At 36.3% G+C, this 15,609-nt stretch overlaps 1 protein-coding gene across 7 annotated transcripts in view; it reads left to right on the top strand.

Moving 5' to 3' along the window:
* The window catches only part of CERKL (CERK like autophagy regulator), a 120,434-nt gene that overhangs the window by 76,661 nt on the left and 28,164 nt on the right, over window positions 1–15,609 (top strand). For 2 of the 7 annotated variants that reach the window (NR_027690.2, NM_001030313.3), the window contains exon 3: window positions 6,561–6,692. The exons of 2 other annotated variants lie outside the window; for them this stretch is intronic. Coding sequence is in view for 4 of the 5 variants with exons in the window: in NM_001030313.3 (NP_001025484.1) it covers window positions 6,561–6,692 (132 nt within the window). In the remaining variant the exon portion in view is untranslated. Of the gene's footprint in view, window positions 1–6,560; window positions 6,693–14,323; window positions 14,388–14,934; window positions 15,013–15,609 lie in introns of all 7 variants that reach the window. 3 more of the 7 variants (NM_001030311.3, NM_001160277.2, NM_201548.5) reach the window with 3 other exon arrangements.

Below are 15,609 nucleotides of genomic sequence, written 5' to 3'. Positions count from 1 at the left end.
AATAATTGTTAAGCTGGAAAATCCAAGTGAATAAAGGGAAGGCCTACAATTAAGCAGTTAAGGAAAGGGCTAGGTATAGAAATCAATAGTTTTGATATATGCAGGCTATAGCCAGTTAGGAGATCAGTTAGGGGAAAAACACGTTGACAGCAGCAACGAAAAGCTGATAAACCTAGAATTGTTCACCACTTATCTTAAAATGTTTAACATGGTACTGAGGGACACAGGAGATTATTTATGTGGAAAAACATACCATGTTTCTATACAGAAAAATTGAACATCACAAAAGTATTATTTGATCTTAAGATAATTTATATTTAATGCAATCTCAGTGAAATACCAGGAGAATGTTTTTAAGCTAGACAAACTTATTTCAAAGATCATATGTAAAAATAAGCAAAAATAGATGTGAAAAATTCTTTAAAGTAATGAGAGACCAGTCTTATTGACTATTAAGTCATTATAAAACTATAATGTTTAAAAGATGGTACTGACATATGAATAGATCAGTGGATCTCAGATGGGCAGTGCAGAAAGAGATCCAAACACATACAAAAATTTAGTACCTCTAAAGGTGGCATTTAAAATCTGTGGGGAAAGATGGATTTTCCAATGAATAATGTTGGGATAGGTAGATAGCCATCTGGAAAAAATGAAAGTCAAATCCCAACTTTTTACCTTTTATCAAAATGAACTTCAGATACAATTGAAAATATAAAATTGAGACCATAAAAGTATTAGAAGAAAAATGCAGTTTTTAAGTCTCAAAAGGGGACTCTTAAATATCATACAAAGCCCAGAGGCCATAAAAGAGATGATTGATAAATTCAAATATAGGTCCGTGTAAGCGAAAACTTTCAGTATGGAGAAAACATAAGTTATTAAGGCAAATGACACACTAGGAAAAGCATTTGTAACTCATAACAAGCCTAGTTTTCTTACTGTGTAAAGTACTGCCATAATTGACAAAGAAAATATGAAGAATTGGCAAGTGACATACATAGAAAGTTCATGGAAAAAATAACTCTTAAACATTTACAAAATTTTACAACCTCTCATGAAAAGAGAAATGGAAATTGAAATTAGAGTCACATACAGTATTTCACTTTTCATTTGTCAAAGATCAAAAAGTTTGAACATACTGTGGGTTTATGTTTATAAGGATGTAAGAAAACAGGCAATCTAAATTCCTTGTAGAGTGTAAATTGGTAGTAATAAGAGAAAAATTTACTGAATACTTTGTGCCAGGTGCTTTTCTAAGCACTTTACATTTAATTATCTCAATTAACTTATCCAGAAAGTACCATTATTTCTGTATTACACGTGAGGAATTTGAAGAAAAGTTAGACAAGTAATTCAAAGTCACACAGTTAATAAATGACAGAGTGAAGATTTGAGACCATTTCCTTTTTCTCAAGTGTCCACTTTTGGTCGCAACTCTGCTGTTTCTGTAGTGAGTGATTTAACACTATATGATAAAACCTTAAGAGTACGTACTCTTTGATCCAGTGATTCTACTTCCAGAAGTTTGTCCATTTTGCATCAAATAGATGGAGAATAGCATTCATTGCATTGTTATTTGCAGTAAAGGAAGATTGGAAACAACCTGAACATTTATCCTCAAGGACTCATCCATACAAAAGAATTGAAGTAAATTCATCCAGATGAATATGAGGCAGCTTTAGATAGAGTGAGATGGCATCCTATGTAGTGATATGGAGTCATCTTTAAAATACAGTAAAAGGAAAAAGCAAGATACAGAATAGCATGTAGGGAAGCTGCTGTCTATGTGAAAAGCTGTAGAATATACGTGCATTTTTGTATATGCATAGAATATTCCTAGACAAGGACAAACATGGTGGTTCATACCTGTAATCCTAGCACTTTGGGAGACTGAGGCAGGTGATTCACTTGACTCCAAGTTCAGGATGAGCCTGGCCAACATGGCAAAACCCCATCTCTAGAAAAAATATAAAAATTAGCTGGGTCTGGTGGTGTATGCCTGTGGTCCCAGCTACTTGGGAGGCTGAGGCAAGAGGATTGCTTGAGCCTGGGAGGCAAAGGTTGTAGTGAGCCAAGATCATGCCACTGCACTCCAGCTTGGGTGACAGAGCAAGACACCATTCATCTCTCTATCTCTTTTCTCTCTCTCTCTTTCTCTGTCTACACACATACACATACCCCCCCACACACATATATATACACACATATATGTGTGTGTGTATATATATGTGTGTATATATATACGTGTGTGTATATATATGCGTGTATATAGATACATTTCTAGAAGGATTCTCAAAGTGATATCAGTGATTGTTGTGCAAGAAGGAAACTAGATATCAGTGAATGCGCTAAATAAGGTGATTTTGAATTCTGTAGCATGTGTATGATTTACCTATAGAGAAAGCAGTCTAGCATGAGCGTGGGTTTCTCAAATATAGAATGTTTGCAGTGAGGTCACTTGGTGAAAAGTATAGCCATGTCAGACAGATGTAGGTTCAGATTCCAGGACTTCCAGGACTGCTGAAAGGGAAAGGGGCTTTGGATCTCCTTCAGCTCCAGGCAGCATTGCTCCTTTCCCAGCTTTGACATTAGCTGGAGGGAAGACAAGTTCTTAGAGCTCTATGTGCTTGGGACAAGACCCCTTCCCCCTACTGCCTTACTCGCCAACCATAACTGCTGCAAACAATTCTTACCTCTTCCACCCCATGTCACTGCCTAAAACCCTTCATCACCTGGCCTCCCATGCCTCTAAGTCTCTGTACATCCCCTAGCCTGATACTGTCCCCAACCCTCCTCAACTCCAGACACCATTTTACTCTACCCTCTGGAATTGTCCATTATTAGCAAAATCTCCTTTATTTTCAACCTCCTTTCTAAGTATTTCCCCCACATTCTTGTTGTAATAGAGACACAGCTTTCCCAGGACTGTATAGCTTTCCTTGCAGTCCTCTAAAGTGGTAACTGGTTTCTCTGCCATACATTTCATACCACTGGTCCTGGAGATATTGTCAATATCTTAATGTCTTCCTTCCATCTCACTTAAATTTTGAGACCATAATTCCTTTTTCCTCTCTTAAAAGTTCTCAGTGTTGAAGCTCAATCCATTAGATACCTCTAGCTGGCACTACTAGTTGCAGTCCTGTGCAGACTACTGAGTCATTTTCTTTACTCCCTGAAGACTTAAACTCTATCTTACTCTCACTCTCTCTGACATTACTCCTATTAAAATGTTATGTTTCTTTAGCTATTCTTTCAGTTTTTGGTCTCCTCTCCTTCAACGAGGATGATTTCTAGAATGTTGGTTCTCAAAATGTGGCCCCTTTGCAGACATCGTCAGCACCTGGGAACCTGTTATAAATATGAATCTGCAGACCACACCCCAGACTACTAAGCCCAAAATTCTGGGGGCTGGAGCCCAGAATCTATGTTTTAAGAAGCACGTCAGGTAATTCTGATGAATATGCCAGTTCCTTAGATCTTGTTATTGTCATTACTGACAACTTTCTCTGAGACCACAATTTGAATCTACCAATTTTTCACTAGTACTCACCCATCTTAAGTCCTTACTTTCCCCTTACCAGCCAGACATTTGAATATTCCTTGACTCTTCTCTTTCACATACTATATCCAAAGAGTCAACAAATGCTGTCAGCTATACCTTCAAAATACATGTAGAATCTAACTTTTAACCTCCACTGCAGTCACTTCAGTCCAAGCACAACCATTTCCCACCTGGAGTATTGCAACTGTTCTTGTTTGGTGGCCCTTGGCCCTACTTTATCTACTTTCCGCAAAGCAGCCAGAGTGTTTCTTTCAACACCTAAGGTTATATGGCTTCATTGATTGAAATTCACCGTGCTTCACCTCTTTCTCTACAAAAGCCAAAGTCCTTGTAAATGCCTGTAAGGCTCGAGGGTGATCTGACCTTCCCTGGCCTGTCGTGTTTCGGTAAAAGTAAGCTGAGTCTTTCATAGTTAAAGGACAGCAATATTGTCCTGCATGATATTTTAAAAACCCAATCAAGAATCACACATTGCATTTAATTTTCATGCCTTTAGTCTCCATTAAAAGTGTGCCCTTTGTATTAATAATTGGAGTGATGAGGGACAGAGTTTAAGAATATATAAATATTTTGTCCCCAACTGACTGTCACTGGATGGCTTTGGCACCCATTGGTGATTCTTACCTGAATCAGTAATTATTGTGATGACTGAAAATAGTGATTTTTCTCACTGTATAATTCTTCTATATTTATTAATTACCTTAATATTATCCTATAGAACAGAATGTTCCCTTCTCATCTTTTGTTTGTTTAGTGTCAGTATTACTCATGAAGTTGGGTGTTTAGAAAATTCAATGTTGTATAATACTGTTATTATTCAATATTGTATTTTCTCAGTTTGAGTCTTCCATCTGCGTCCTTTCATGTAAATAGTATAAAGATCAGTAATAGAGGAACATAGAGTAAAGTGTGAGCAGAGAAGCCTTACTCTGAGACAAACTTCAGAGAGGTGAACTCTGTTGCTGATTAAGAAAGGCTTCACTGAGGAAGTGTTGTTTGAAGTGAGCTTTGAAAAGTCATAAAATTTTGACAAAAGTGGGGATGGGGTGGAGCTTAAAGGAAAAACTGTCTGAACAAAGGAAGGCCCGGCAGACTAGGAATTTGGCAATAATACAGTGGTTTTGGACCTTGATGAGGAAGTTGAAATGGAACATAAAAACCCTCTGCATTTAGCTCCATTTATTTGCTCAGGCAGCTCTCACTGCCTAAAATTTTCACCCCTGCTGTTTTGCTCAGGGGTGGGATGAGGGGTAATGAGGGAGGAAATTTTAGGGGGTGAAAACAGCACAAGCCAAAAACCCTGCTCAGATACTCCCTTCTCTTGAAGCCTTTTCCAGATCCCTAATAAGAATTAACCACCCTCTCTCACACACTCTGTTGTACTTTGTCCTTCTCTGTTAACCAGCCTCTGTGTTTTGTGCTGTCTGTATTTGTGGATACATCTTCCTCCTTTAAAGCACGAATCATATCTTAATCCCTTGGCCCTTCTTCCCAGTACTTAGCACAAGTGCTCAATACATGTTTCTTTAACGCGTGTAACAGAGGAAGGCGAGGAGAGTGAGTGGGATTGGGAGCAGGAGGATTCTGAATGTCATTTTAAGGGGTTTGGGCTCGCTCTTCAGGCAGCAATGAGCCATAGCCGCCTTTGAACTGTGCAGCACTGACCAGAGCTGTGATGCCAAAGGATGCAGTGGAAGGGGAGGACAGCCAGCATGCCTGGGCATGGTCCCCAAGTCAGAGGACATCAGTGGGAGAAGGGAGAAGGCATGGAAGCAAGTGGCTACCATCTTATGAATCTGAGCACTCATTCAAAGGTGGCAAGGAAAAAGGAAGGCATTGAGCACGGTTTTGAGGTTTCCAGCCTGGGTGATTGGAGGCTGATGCAGGCTTCTTACCAAAAAGGGCCCTAGGCAGTTTCACCAGGAATGTTTAAGGAGTTTATCATGACCCTATCTCTTCCTCGTCTAAAACTCTCCCTAAAATCAAAACAGTATGTCCTGTTGAAATACTTTATTGTATCAAATATAATGAGAAGTAAAATATTCTCTCTACTTGATGTATGAAACACTGACTTCTTGTAGTGGACAATTTTCACTTGTCTTTTTAGTAATGGTTTTTATTAAAAATAGATGTTAATAACTGCTTGTTTAATCTTTAAACGTGGCCCTCTGAGAGCAGCTTACCGTAAAAGAAACGGTTGTCAGCTTTCTTTTTGCTCCTCAGTCCCTCCTGCCCCTTCCTAACAACAGAAAATTTGCTTTGCACCTGCTCCAACTGGGTTCGAAGAGATAAGCATCTTGCAAGCCCAGAAAATTGTAGTATCAAATCTCAGCCCCAACTGTGAGGCAGCACTATCATTGAATCCCTGCTGAGAGGCGTTGCTTTCCCAATTCCCAAAAGAGTTCTTTCTCCCCTGGCCCCTTTTCAGGCTTGAACTCTGACCGAAACCCTCTTTTTAACTCCCAGCATGCACTGCACTTGGTACTGACACTGACCCATCCCTGCTTCCTCTGTTCTGCACTGGACTCATCAGTAGGTCAGGCGTTGGTAGCCCTGGGGTCACTGGGGTGCCCAATTCCAATAATGAGCACATTTAGCTAAGGAGAGGAAATGTACCCTTCTATTTGTTACAGTCCATTGCTTTTTTTCCAGAAACAAATGCTAAAAGAACATTTGATATATTGTGGTTTGGTAAATACACATAGCACTGCCTAATATTCACAAAGTTGCCTCTTTTTTTTGCATCTTCCTTCATAAATTAAATATATTGTTCTAACTCATGATTTATTTTAAGAGGGATATACCTATTTCACAGCTAGGAAAATGTTTTCAAATAAAGTTATATTCAGAATACTCTTGCAAGAATTTCAAATAAAAATAGCAAATACTATTTAAATGCATATAACATTCTAACAGACTTGTGTGTCATTTTAAAGGGAAAGAAAAAAAATGATGACAAGGACTTTACAACTTTGTCTTTAAAATTTCTTCTTAGGCTTTCCAAACAGACCGAAGTCATTAAAAATACTCCTTAACCCCCAAAGTCACAAAAAAGAAGCTACCCAGGTTTATTATGAGAAGGTTGAACCTCTGTTGAAGCTTGCAGGAATAAAAACTGATGTAACAAGTAAGTAATTTTCAGAATATAATTTCACCATCTACAAAAACATACAAAAGCAAAATAATCTGAATTTGTCCTTAATGCAAACTTGGGAAACTACTTGTAATATCTATAGCATTTTTACGTCTTCATAACCTACTGCAGCCAGCTCGAGGGTTATAATTTAATTATTTTTGTTATTTTTATTAGAATATTAATATTTTCTCTTTAGAATTTTTTCAGATATTTTTTCAGACTTAAACAATTGTTAGATATAATTACAAAGGAAGCTGTATACTTGTTTACATCTTCATGGAGATGTTTGCTACTTACACGTTAATTTTGCAGTTAGGCAAGAAATTGATTTTTTGCTCACTTATATAGTTGATGTCTTTCCATGGAATTCTTCCTTGGGTTGTTTTCGTTCTGACTCTGACCCCTGGTGGTTAGGTCAAAACTAAGCACTGAACTGCTGGTTTTATTAATAGATGAATTTAGAGATGCTAGAAGCTTAAATTTGTTGTCTAAACTAAGAAATGTACTTAGGTTTGTGCCAAGGAAAATAGAAACTTGTTAATGCTAAACTTAATAGATGATTAGTAATATCCTTTTTGATTTTTTTAATTTGGTAGTCACATTTCTTTGTTTCTTTGAGACTTATTTTCGTATGGTGGGGAACTGAGTAGAAGAGTCGATGCTATGGAGAATCGCAACCTTCCTAGCTTTATTTCTATGTGGCTTCGCTAACAGTGGAAATTTGCAATAAATTTTAATTGATGAAAAGTATTATAAAATAAGCCTACTCAGGGGACAAGCCCAGAGTGCAATTGGAACTTCCTAGTCCCAGTTATAGATTCCTAGGGAAGGGATTCACAGTGATGTGGCTTTACTCAGCTGTAAACAAAGGAGATAAGTTTCAAGATGTTAATAATATCATTGAAACCTACACCTAGTGATCTGATGGATTGAGGTAGAAGAAAGTTCAAAAAAAAAAAAAAAGCAAGTTTTGTAGGAAGGTCAGCCCCCATGAAATGTGCCTATAACTATAGAGGTTCGAGAGAAACTACCATGAAAAACTCAAGAGGAATTTTTGAATTAAAATAAAGTTATAGTGAAGAAGTTAACCTTTATGTTTGTGACCTTCGGCTTATTTAGAGGTGATTTACAAGTAAAAGAGAAAATTCAGATTTATGTTTTCTTTCTACTGAAGATTTCCAAAGATTGGCTGAAGGAAAAGTTTGAGATTTGTATTAGGGTGAGACAATTAAAAGTTGAATAAACATATTGGCATACTCAATGACTATTTTGTTCATTGCTTTTACATGTGAATACTACAAAGCAGCTTAACATGGATATTGCTATATAGCATTCACTTCAGGAATCTCATTGTATGCTTGCTCTGTGTTCAACATAGTGCAGGATGCGAGATGAATAAGCTATCATACTTGGATGACTTTCTACATTATTAGAGATTCAAAAAAATGCTTAAAACCATTATAACTGGGGTATACATAAAAGAACTTTGATGTCTCAGAGGTGATATTTTGATCGGAAGATTCAAGAAAAGCATTTGAACTAGGCAGTTTTTAAGAGGCAGACAAAAAATGAGGGAAGGAAGTCAGGCTAACAGGCATGTACTGTAAAAGTTGGGAGGGGGGGCGGAGAGAGAGAGTGTGTGTATGTGAGAGAGTCCATGTGTGTTACACCCATACATCTGGAGAGTTTGTGCCATAACTTTGCTCTACTTTCCTCAGTTTTTACATTATCTGAAATCTTACTCTATCATCATAAAATAGCTGCCAGTGAATTTCATCCTTTCTTATTAATATCCAGTGGGATGGGGAGAGGTGTGCATATGTGTGCAAGAGAGACCCAACATGCTTTAATCCTGAAGATGAATTAAAATTTCCTTTTTTAAGTTTGGGCACAGATACTGTATTAGCGCAGTCAATCTGGAATAATCATTTATTTAACCATCAAGACTCTTCCCAGGGGCTGAGGACAGATCCCCTTTTCCTGATGACTGAAATGCCTCAGCTGAATCTGGATTCTGTTAGGGAGAAGAAAGGGCAAAATGACTTCTAGGAAGGCTCTCAACAATGTATACTACAGGAGGTATAATTCCAGGTTATGGATGGATCCTTAAGCTGCACTCAGCAGTTTACTCATCGTGTATTGATCCACAGTTGGTGTAAATTTTTTTTTATCATACTGTTGCAATCTGGTTTGGCAAAGATGACTCCACCAGCAGAATTAAAATTAAAAAGGAAGAGAGAAAAAGAGATTGGAGACAAGAAAACTGATATACAAGGCCTGAACTAAGGCAGAGGAAATCATCTAAATGTGCTTTCCTTCTTAATTGTATTGGAGACAAAACTATTATGTTCTAGGATTTTTTTCTCTAAATTTGTAAATATTACTAAGTACCATATTTAAACATAAAACAATAGAATATTCCGTAAAGCAAATTTAGAATTTACTTACATTTGTGCAGAATGGCTAATTATTAGCTGCCTAACACTCCTCCTACAGGCAAATTTATAAAATTACATCATTTGCTTATAAAACCATTTTAGTATGCATATTGGCTCAATATTTATGAAAAATATTTCTTGAATAAACCTGTGAATATTTGAAAAGTTTTAGTCTTCCTGCCTATCTTACAGTGTTATTTTTGTAGTTGAAATAATATATTTGAAACTTTGTATATTATACTACAGAAAGGTGGTCATAATACTGTTAGTTTCAGTTTCAAAAATTATGTCATAGTAAGATCGAATTCGTACTTTATTTGAAAGTATATGGAAGAGTAAAGCAGAAAGAGGACATATCTTCTGCATGTCCAGTGGGACATTGTTTTAATGTATCCTTGTGTGAATGGGTGAGTCCAAATGGAATTGGAATTACAAAATAAACCCTATATGATGAGTTAATTAGGAAATAGTGCTATATAAATATGAAGTATAATATGAAGAATTACAGCTAGATATATACACTATAAGGTACTGTAATTTTTTCATAAATTTATTTTAAAAATGGATCTTACCACATTAATAAAAACACACTTCTTTCATTTTGGGTTGTGCTGAAATCCTAACTACTTCTGAATATAGATCAGCATCTTTTGAAATATTTGTGCTAAAGTTGCATCCCCACTCTGCTACCACCACCAAGGTAGTATCTTATCTAATAGCATCAGAAAAACTTCCGGGAGAACCTGGAAAGAATTATTTTTTCCTAATTACCTATTCGTACACAAATCAAAGAAGAGTATGAACGATAAGCCCATGCTGGCATATGATATCATTTCTCTTGCTTCTGAAACAAAGCAAGTTTTAGAGATTGTACCATTAAAGGTGTGACAGATATTTTGAGGATCAGAGATCCATAGGATAATTCATAGTACAATAGAGTGAAAAAGTTAAGGCAGCAGAGAAATCAGACTGAAAAGAACTTTCGAGGCCATATGGTTCAATTTTTCTCCTTGTGGGTGGAGCACAGGTGTGTGGCACTCAACTTTGGCTTGGCCACCTACACTAGAGGCAGAGTACGTTGTTACTGGACAATACTGTTTGACATTCTTATGAATGTTCAGAGTTACTGTACCTTTGGGCAGATTAGAAAAGGCACCTCCTCTGTGCTGACTTACAAAAAGGTGCCCTTTCTTCCAGACTAATTCATCCTTTGCTTATAAAACCATTTCAGTATGCATATTGGCTCAATATTTATGAAAAAAATATTTCATACTTTCAAAATATTCATATTTCAAAAATATTCAGCCCAAGGTCACTAGATTCAGCCTAAAGTCATTTGTTAGATTGCAAATCCGTCATTCCCGTTAGCCAAGTACCTTTGTGCTAGGCATAAACTGTACAAAATGAGAACTTGTCAGCTGACATTCGCCTCTTTGTAATTTTTATGTACTAGAGTTAATGTTATCTCTTGTAGTAATATGAAATAAATGTGCCCCATCTATTGTATAGGAGTCATTGAGATATTTGAAGAGAGATATCCTGTCTGCCCCTCATCTCTTGTTCACGATAGGTACTTCCATCGCCTTCAGTTACTTTTTGCATTAACAGAGCTGCTAGACCTTATCATGGTCATTATCATTATCATACTCAAAGACATTTATCTGAAGGAAACCTTGATCTCTGCCAGCTCAGGGCTCTTGGGAGTGCCTAGTCACCAGATAATTTTACCTCCTGGGCAGAGTTGTCAAGAAAGTGGTGTTTGTTATCATTTTCCCCTTCTTTCTCCTAAAATCACGCTTCTAACATGGCTGTTAACAAGCCTCTTCATAGTGTTTCTCTGGTTGTTTATGGCTCTACTTGAAGCCTTCCATTTCTTGGAAATGCCTCTTGCCTTTCTAAATCTCACCCAGCAGAAAGCTAGGCCATCTAATGAAACTGTGTCACAAAAGATTCCAGTAGCCTGAGGCATCACTCCTTCCAATTTTACCTGCATTTTAATACAAAATCTGAAAAGTAAATGTTCATGCATCATATCTAGCTAGAGAGAAAGATAATTCTGTGTAAAAGATTCTTTTTGTTACCTCTTAAATAATTGTGGGTGTATATGGCCAGTCCTGTTCCCAGCATTCAGATGTGAGTTAGGAAGTTGGAACTTTATACCTGGGGACGATGAAGACTCACTAATGGGGTATATACAAAAAAGTGATATGATTAAATATGTATCTGAAAATGGTTATTCTGGCTAGAGTGGGGGAGAGGTTTGAGGGAGACAAGATAAAAGGCTATTGTAGTACAGGTGGAGTATCCCTTATCTGAAAGGCTTGGGACCAGAACTGTTACAGATTTAGGATGTTTTTAGCTTTTGGAATATTTGCATTATACTTAACCACTTCAGCATCTCTCTAATTTGAAAATCATGGACACAGGAAGGGGAATATCACACTCTGGGGACAGTTGTGGGGTGGTGGGAGGGGGGAGGGATAGCATCGGGAGATATACCTAATGCTAGATGACGAGTTAGTGGGTGCAGCGCACCAGCATGGCACATGTATACATATGTAACTAACCTGCACAATGTGCACATGTACCCTAAAACTTAAAAGTATAATAAAAAAAAATTAAAAAAAAAAAAAAAGAAAATACTCCAATGAGCATTTACTTTGAACGCCATGTCATTGCTCCAAAATTTTTAGATGTTGAAGCGTTTTGGATTTTAGATATTCTGGTTACAGATACTTAACTTGTCTACACATGAAAGATATTTAGTGATCAGATCAATCAGCTAATTTAGGGAATTAGCTGGGAGAAATGGAGGAATGCTATGGCATAATTTAAAGACAGAAACAACTGGCCTTGGCCATGGAGTGGTTCTGGAGAGTGGAGGAAAGGGACACTCTAGAAAGAAGTCATTTTCCTGTCTTGGGGTAGATGATGGAACACAAAAAGAACAATATATTTGAGAGAGAATATATTTGAAGGTATACATAATGGATTCTGTTTTGAGCTTACTAACTTTAAAGTACCTACAGGACAGGAAAGAAAATGACATTTCAGTATCATATCCCACACTAGAATTTTATCACCAAACCAAGAAATGTTTCCTTATGTCCAAATCAAATCTCACCTGATTTTATTTCAGGTGATTTTCTCATCAACATTGAATATCAACCTTAAGACTTTCTTGTCTTCCTGAGGAAGTTGCATTTGCACCAAAGAGGGGAGGGGGAAATTCCCAGCAGTGAGAATTGTGTTCAAAGACCTGTAAACTGTGAAGGCTTCACATCTCCTATTTAGAAAGAGCACAGGTTGGCAATCTCATAGGAAAAGGCAAATAGATGAAAGAAGAGGCTGGGTTACATTTTTTGAAATTACATTTATCTAGCAATCCTTTCTTTGTTTGTTTGTAGGGGGATGATTTGAATCTGGCTGTCACTGATTCCAGGGCCCACAATAGCCTGTCTAAATACATATTTGGTCCTTTCTACTATATTTAAATAGTAATCCAGATCACTCTTTATCCTTTTGCCTAACATTGTTTTGTATAACCACCTATTACTTCATATTATAATTCATTATTTCATTAGCATATATTGTCTATCTCCAGAATGCAAATTCCTGAGGCCAAAGACTAATTCATTTTGTTCATTTTGCTAATATATTTTATAGATGTAGATAGTCAGGTTCTTTTCATTTTGTTTCTTTGTTCTAGATCTTTGATTTTATTGGACTTTTGCAATGTTACTTAAAAAATTGCTATTTTCAGGCAGGTTGCATTAGTGTATAATCAAATTCCACCCACAATATCAAAAAAAGACTATTACAAATTAAAAAAATAAAAATAGCATTCAATAATAACACAGTTCTAAAGCTCATTATTGGATCTGAAAAACTTTACCAATGTAAGCTTTGGTATAAAAGTAAGGCTTGGTGAACTGATTCTTAGCATAAATATTTTTTCATGATATTCTTATTTTTAATGTGTATATGTAAGATGTTTTATTTTGCATTTTAAGGTTGTAAGTACTTGCTGTAGTTATAAATGAATGATCAGCACACATCTTCTTTGATAACCTTTCAACTTTATTAATATTAATGTTTCATATGTAGTTTTATTATGGCTTTCTTCTGATTGGAATTTAATATAGAGAGGTTTTATTCATGTGAGTGTTAATGGCATTTTGAATAAGCTATGGGAGAATTACAATGTAACACTGCTGGATACAGAATGATTCTTTTAGACACCAAGACTAATAATTTTTAACAATATCGAAAAACATTGTAGGAAAAGCTTGAACCATGCTGGCACCAGGGACAGACAAGCATGAAAGATTAATGTAATCTTGCATATAATGACACACATTCTTACACAAAAAATCCATCTGCAATGTCATGTCAGTCAGCAGAAATCTTTGATGGGTGGATACAGCTGGGCTGTCTCTTCTGGCAGAGCTGCCCTGGAAAATGCTAAATGTGGTTGTGATGCTTGGTGCCATCTGCAGTGTGCCCGTTTATCCTGTCTTCACTGGCATTTACGATACTGCATAGGGCATCAGTGACTGTGGAGACAGCGATACAGAGTGACAGATTCATTTCCTCGGAGGGTCTGAGCTCTGGTGGGCCTGTGTGCCACCCTCCTTCTTGGGTCTGGGTCTCTTATAATTGGTGTTGGCTTTACTTTGTATTTTCACATCCAACTCTTCCTCTTTTTAGTCTAACAGTTCCAGTACACATTCTTCTGGTTTGTAAATCTTACACTAACCTTTTGACTAATTTATTCATGTAAGGTTGCCAAACCGATTTAAGATTGACTGTTCAATGCCAGCTAATATGCCTTATTTCCAAAATACTGCTCCTCCTAAGCCTCTGATTTAAAGGACATGTGTCTTATTTAGGGAATACTAAACAGGCACCAGGACAAATTGGGTAACCACTATGCGTGGGATATTCCCAAATGACTTTATGTAGTTGAAACAAATATATGACCTTCTCTTACATAAAGCTATAAAACATCAGGCCAGTAACACTTAGTCCTCTTGCCCATGATTAAAATATAAATATTCAAGAATAAATGCTGTTTTATGACTTGACCATATGTTTATCATATTATTTTGCCAGAACAAGTTAAAAAGTGTGATCATTGTTTAAAACTGTCACTTTGTGTATGTGTGTGTGTTTTTTTAATAGTAATGGAATATGAAGGGCACGCTCTGTCACTGCTTAAGGAATGTGAACTCCAGGGATTTGATGGGTAGGTTATATTATTAATCAATATATGTTATATCATTTATGTATTAAATGCCTTCACTAGTTTTAGCTACATATTTGGAACCTAACATTTAAAAATATTTGTAGTGTATGTACTTTGGCTCTATCTTGTTCATATCTATGTAATAATAATTAATGATAATATGACATGGTCATCTATCTCTCAGGATCTGGCATAGGAAAGCAAAAAGAGGAATCTAATTATTAAAATACTGGGAAATGACAGTGTACTACTCTATACTTACTAATGTGCATACATTTGCATCTATAATTATTTGCTTTTACCATATATCTAGAGAAGCACTAATGGAAGATGTTATACTGGTCACATGGCATAACTATATGATGATCTTCTTTTGCAAATTAATTGATAGGTTTAATAGCTACCCATTGGTTAACTTGTCTGTGATAGATTGAGGGAAGATATTTTATAAATACAAGTAAATAAATACATTATTTCCAGAAACAATAAGAAATAATTTTAATTATCTCATAATGTAGTGACTACAATTTAGGTATGTTATTCACAGTGGGCATCGGAAACCATTGTTCGCAATACATTGGAGTGTACAGAGATTGTTCACTGGCATGCAAACGTTAGAACCAAGGCAAGTGATATAAATTTCATTGCCATTTTTTAAAATTAGGTGAACCAATTTGCTAAAGTGTTGGACTGATGTGTAAGACTAAAACATATTATATTCCTTTAGGGAAGTTCTTTTTACGTGAGTAGATATTTGAGAATTTAAAAAGTTGACAAGTGTGTGAATTATTTGTGTTACATGGTGATGGGCAGGGGGCAAAGACCCATAAGGTCAGGAAAGGGAGTTAGGTCTGTACTTTCACCAAAGTGAAAGGCATTAACCTTCCCAAAGACTGATTTGAATGTGCTGGGGAGGGAAGTGATGCAATCAAAATGGAGTATTGGCAGGGCTGTTTTTCAGAAATGCTTATTTATTTATTTATTTTTTGGATGAGGAGAAAACAATAGCTGTTGAGAAAGAAAATGTGGTAAGTAAAACATGATTTTTCCAAAAGGAATCTAATTGAGGGAAGTAAATCTAGATAGCAATATTATATAAACATTGGGAATCAAAAATATGGGGTAGGAGATTACTTCAGAACTTTATACTTAGAGGTAGACAAAAACATTAATAGGCTTCATTTAGAAAATTGTCTTACAAGTATACAATTTAAGAAAAGTC

The sequence above is a fragment of the Homo sapiens genome, chromosome 2 (assembly GCF_000001405.40).
Source record: "Homo sapiens chromosome 2, GRCh38.p14 Primary Assembly".
Taxonomy (NCBI): Eukaryota; Metazoa; Chordata; class Mammalia; order Primates; family Hominidae; genus Homo; species Homo sapiens.
This window is presented reverse-complemented; position numbering and strand designations above follow the sequence as displayed.